This window comes from Homo sapiens, chromosome 14 (assembly GCF_000001405.40).
Source record: "Homo sapiens chromosome 14, GRCh38.p14 Primary Assembly".
NCBI lineage: Eukaryota > Metazoa > Chordata > Mammalia > Primates > Hominidae > Homo > Homo sapiens.
This window is the reverse complement of record NC_000014.9, coordinates 94,397,986-94,403,985: the sequence shown is the minus strand read 5'-3', so window position 1 is coordinate 94,403,985 and position 6,000 is coordinate 94,397,986.

Here is a 6,000-nt window from a genome sequence, read left to right as displayed (position 1 = left end):
CTTATTCTAAGCCAATGACATCCTTGCTGCACTGAGAAAATTAAAGCAATCAAAAGAGAACATGCTTCCAGCTCAACATTTTCTACATTCCTGAAAATATGCTCTCATGTTCTTCTTTCTCTTCTGTATTTGGGTGAAGTGTCTATGCAGTCGGCCAAGGCCAATCCACTTAAGCACTAGATCTACCTCCTCCACCTCCTAAGACAAGGCTTAACAGCAATCCCTCCTACTCACGAACCATCAATTACTTCATCTCTACTTAAGCATCTTCCTCTGCTAACAAACACAGTTTATTTCTGCCAGACCATGTGGGAGGTGCCCTAAGATGCACAAAAGTTGATAAACAAGTTCCAAAATTTACCTTTTCCCCGTATGTACTGATAATGTAATTTCTGATATGAGACAAGTGAGCCCACTGTTCTTTTCATGGGATGATGGGAGGTGGGGTTTGAGAGCTCAGTGCAGTCACAAGTTGAAACAAGCAAGAGGCAGCAGGAAAGTCTTGAGCAATTCAATCTCTGACCTCTCCTGACCATTGTTCCCTCCTCAAGGTCTTCAACATGGCTCAGCTGAAGTTCCCCCACAGGGAAAGTGAGCCTGCTTAGCTATTTAGGGGACCAGTCTCACCACTGGGCATCCAGAGCGTGGGCACACAGTGATCCCTGAGTGCAAACTCAAGTAATAGTGACCAGGAAGAGGTGGGGCTAAAGTTGGTAATATGCCAGGGGAGTGGTACCACATCTTGTCCCTGAACTCAGTTTACATGTAAAATAACATAGAATGAAATTACTCTGGGATTTCAGAAACCAGCATGATTAGTTCTAGATGAGGAATTATAGAGGAGTTAGCATGGAGTCTGAGCAGAAGAGGATGCTAAAGAGGTGTTGCTACAGACTGAAGCAGAGGAAAGAGAAGCACAAATGCTATTCTAGGGGATTAATGACTTCTGGGGACAATGTACCCATCAACTGGAACACTGTCAGGGGAAAGAAAGGAAGGAAGGTCAGATGAGGAGTTGGGATCCTTGAAGTTCCGGCCAAGTCTCAGGGCAGGGATTGGAGTCAACCACTGTTTACTTTTTCCTCCATCACAACTGCTACCCAGTCTTTGATTAGGATCCTTGGCCAACGGATTCCAGACATTGCAATACTCTTCAAGCCTCACTTGAGTTTGAGACATATATTTTGCTGATTGACATTGAGTCATTTTAGTTATTTATCACTCAGTGTAACACAGTTCCAGCCACGCTGTGTTTTCTGTGCACATCTGAGTTGCTTGATCACTTCAGCCCAGACTGCAACCTGCAGGCAGATTCAGTCAAGGGTTATCCCTACTGAAATGAGGCCAGCTCACAAGAAGATGTCTAGTTGTGGATGTTGGTTTGTAGCCCCTTACTCAGTACTTGTAAAACAATTGAGAAAACTGATAAAGAACTATAAACTACCTATCTAACAGGGTTATTTAAGAATCAACTTGGGCCCGTGACTAGCATAATGCAACATGTACATAGGAAGTATATAAGGGGTTAGCTGTTAAACATCAGTGACATTTTTCATGAAAATAAGAAAGAAAGAAGGAAGAAATAGTTGACAGAACAGAGATATAAGATCAACAGAACTGGAGGATAAATCAGGAATTATTCATTTGAAATTTGAAGGCCAGGTATGGTGGCTCAAGCGTGTAATCCCAGCACTTTGGGAGGCTAAGGCAGGTGGATCACTTGAGGTCAGGAGTTCAAGACCAACCCGGCCAACATGGTGAAACCCCGTCTCTATTAAAAATACAAAAGTTAGCTGAGCATGGTGGCATACACCTGTAGTCCCAACTATTCAGGAGGCTGAGGCAGGAAAATTACTTGAACCTGGGAGGTGGAGGTTGGAGTGAGCTGAGATTACACCACTGCACACCAGCTGGGGTGAAAGAGAGAGACTCTGTTAAAAAAAAAAAAAAAAAAAAAGAAAGAAAGAAAGAAAGAAAGAAATTTGAGCCAGCCACTCACACTGCTTAGATTATTTGTTTCCAAACATTTGTTCATGGTCCAGATGCACGGCAATCAGACTCACCTGGGGAATTGTTAAAATACATTCTATGTGACTTTCACAGAGTCCACTTAATCTCAACTATGATGTGCCTGAGATTTTTTAAAAGTAAATTACTTAATAAGCCAGTACACAGGAAAGTAGAACCATCTCATATGCAGTTACAATAATTTTAGAAGTTTAATCTAAAAATGAAAAATTTGAATTCTTACATCCATAAATGGACTAAGCTAGGATCTAATCTTATATCAACCACATGGAATCGTTATTCCTATTTTTGGCTTGCTAAAAACCAAAGTAATAACCTCAATCACTTCAAGGCAAATAAGAGATTTATTATTTTAACTAAAATGATTTTTTTGAGGTAGGGGCTCATTCTGTTGCTCAGGCTGTAGTGCAGTGGTGCAATCACAGCTCACTGCAACCTCAGACTCCCAGGCTCAAGCTATTCTCCCACCTTAGCCTCCCAAGTAGCTGAGGCTACAGGTGCATACCACCATGCCCATCTAATTTTTTTTATTTTTTGTAGATACAGGGTTTTGCTATGTTGCCAAGGCTAGAAAAGACACTTTTTATAACAGGAATTCTATGGTTATGGTTGTGAGCAAGCTGTAACATGAGGTGGCATCAGCAAAATACAAACGTCTTATTGTATTAGTCAGGAAGGATTAGGTTATGCTTCAGTAGCATACAACTCCAACAATCTTAGTGGCTTCAGGATAAAATCTCTCTCTCATGCAGATTGGGTATGGGTATCAACAACTCTCAGACCAACTGTTTTTCAAGGCATCATGTCTGAATGGATGCAGTGATCAAGGTGTCCATTCTCATAGCTTCCCATCTCAGCATGAGCCCTCATCTTGACCATAGTGAGCAAAGACAGACTGGAGAATCACTCAGAGGCCTTTCCCTTCTTCAGTCCAGATGTGATAGGTAGCATTTATTCTAGCATTATTTTTGGCCAGAACACAGACCCATCCACCTGCAACTTGGCTGGAAATTGTTGCCTTCTATATGCCCAGAGGAAAAAGAGAATCAGATATTGGCAAGCATTAGTGATGTCTCTCACACTCAACTTAGCCTTCCTTCTGGAAGTTTCTATGCAGCCATCTGTGGCCTGGTATATGGCTTCTGGAACATTTCCAAAAAGATGCTCATGCTCTGATAGTGGGTACCAGTCATTTCTTCTTTAGGGTCAGTTTATAGTCTCTGTCAGGGAGACTGTCACTTAAAATGGCCCAGTCTTGCAGACACTGCTCAGTGCAAATGTTTGATATTTGCATTCCTCCAATTGTTAGCAGTCAAGGAAGGTGCAAAGTCAACTGTTGGCTGGGCCTAGGAAACAGGGGAATTCTGGAGTTGGCTGTTGTCGCTTGTTAAGCTTATTGGCATTCAAACCAGACATAAGGAATTTGAAAGAACAATATGTCACTGCTATTTTTCTTCCATTGCACAGTTCGCTACAGCCCCTACTGAGAAGCAGGCTCATTTTCCCTAGCTACGAAGGCAGGATAGATGTGATATCCAAGGCATTTAAATGTGAAGTGCTAAACTCCTGCATGTGTATGTGTACACACACACATGCTAAGCATACGAAATTTGCTGTAATGTTTTACAGACCATTTTTGGATGAGACTAATCCATGAACCTAAGGGGAAATGGAGATTTCAAAGGTTCATATAAATCAGGGGTCTCCAATCCCCAGTCTGCAGACCAGTACCGGTCCTTGGCCTGTTAGGAACCGGGCTGCAGAGCAGGAGGGGAGCAGTGAGTGAGATCAGTGCCCTCCTGTTAGATCAGCTGTGGCATTAGATTCCCATAGGAGTGCAAACACTATTGTGAACTGCACATGCAAATGATCTAGGTTGCACACTTATGAGAATCTAAGGATGATCTGAGGTGGAACAGTTTCATCCGAAAGCCATCACCCCAACCTCCATCCGTGGAAATTGTCTTTTTTGAAACCGATTCCTGGTACCAAAAAGATTGGGAACGGCTGACATAAATCATAAAATCAAAGGTAGTACTCTAGCCTCCTTGGGAAAATGTATCAGGAAATATTGATATGCAAGAGATTTACTAATTAGACTTACTGCACAGTGTGGCAGACAAGTGATCAAAATTACAAACTGGCCTTCTGCTAGGGACCTTACTAATGCCAAATTTAAGTGAAAGAGGAAAGAAGTTGAAACAAAGTATGAAAAAATATAAATTGTGAAATGAAGATATTTACTCAGTAACTTCCTCGGATTAAAGCTTTGTAATCCCAGAGCTCTGAGAGATCCATCCGACTAAGAAACCCAGTGGCTCACAGGCATGTAGTCCCTTCCTGATGTGATGGGTTTTGATTTTTTTGGTTTTTGGTTTTTTGGGTTTTTTTGAGACGGAGTCTCGCTCTGTCACCAGGATGGAGTGCTGTGGCACAATCTTGGCTCACTGCACCCCCCTGCCTCCTGGGCTCAAGCAATTCTCCTGCCTCAGCCTCCTGCATAGCTGAGATTACAGGTGTGCACCTGATGTGATGTTTTAATATGCTGAGCTTGAAGATGCAGGGCGAAAATACCAACATGATTTTTGTTGACTAATTCATGTTTTCATACTTAGTGTGGAATCAGGATTTAAAAAACTGTACTTGGAGACCTATTTCAGAACTGCCCTGAGCTCAGGAGAATTGCAAATCCTCAAGGATCACCAAACTCTCTGGTAGAAAACAAGTCCCAGTTGCAGAAGAGTTCTACCTTAGGTGACCAAATGACCAACATGATGAACTATTAAGTCAAAGGATCCACACAGGGATGCTGGAAGTGCTGCTTTTGCATCTGAAAGATGTTCTTCAGGGACAAAAATACTGTATTCCCCAGGGTCTTTCCATGCTAATGAGGCTAATGTCATAAGGTTTGAAATCCAGGTCATGGGATCCCATCCCCAGGGAAGCCTCCAGATTCCACTTGGAGAAAACACGCCTGGTGCAAAATGCAAGGACAAGTGAAGGACAAACACAGATCTAATGACCTCTTCAGGCACCAGGGTCAAAGCCAAAATATGGCATGGCCATAATGCGTAGAGAATACCTATAATAATGTAAACACAGAGAACAAGGAACAATGCTGGTTTTCCCGGGCACAACTCAACAAGTCACTTAAATTCTCTGAGTTTCAGTTGCTCATCTGCAGAGTGAGATGACAGCATGCAGTGACTATGGCACGGCATTGTGGAGGTCATATCCTTGGAGACTGAACTAACACACAGGGAAGGAGACTGAAACTGCCTTTGCAAAATTATAACTCAGGCAATTGTGTCAGTGAAAGAAATCAGACCTAACCGACTCCATCTTGCTTCTAACCTTTAGCTGTCCTTGTTCATTCCTGGGCATAGGCCGAACTAACTTTGGGAGGGAATTCAGTTCATGGTTTTGACTCTGAAACAAAATTGATAATAGCCCTTTCCTGAAAAGATCTCCTTCTTCCCTGGGAACCAGTTTGTCTTTGCAGGACTAACAAATTAGCTACAGATGAGATATTACAGTTCACTGGTCATGCAGCCTCTGGCTCCTAGAGTCTGAACCTCTCCAAATTGCTCCTGAGAATAACATCACTTATTGTAAAACCTAAGATCGGTGCTTGAGATATTTTACAGACCCTACACTCGATGGATCAGCTGACACCACCCAGACCAGTAATCTGGCTCAACCAGTTCTGCCAAACCACCCAGGAACAGACGACAACAAGAAAAACTCACTTCGACCCCCCTATGATTCTACTTCCAACCTGACCAATCAGCACTCCCCACTTCCCAAGCCCCTACCTGCCAAATTATCTTTAAAAACTCCAATCCCTGAATGCCTGGGGAGACTGATTTGAGAAACAATAAAACTCCAGTCTCCCGCACAGCAGGCTCTGTGTGAATTACTCTTTCTTCATTGCAATTGCCCCATCTTGATAAATCGGCTCTGTCTAGGCAG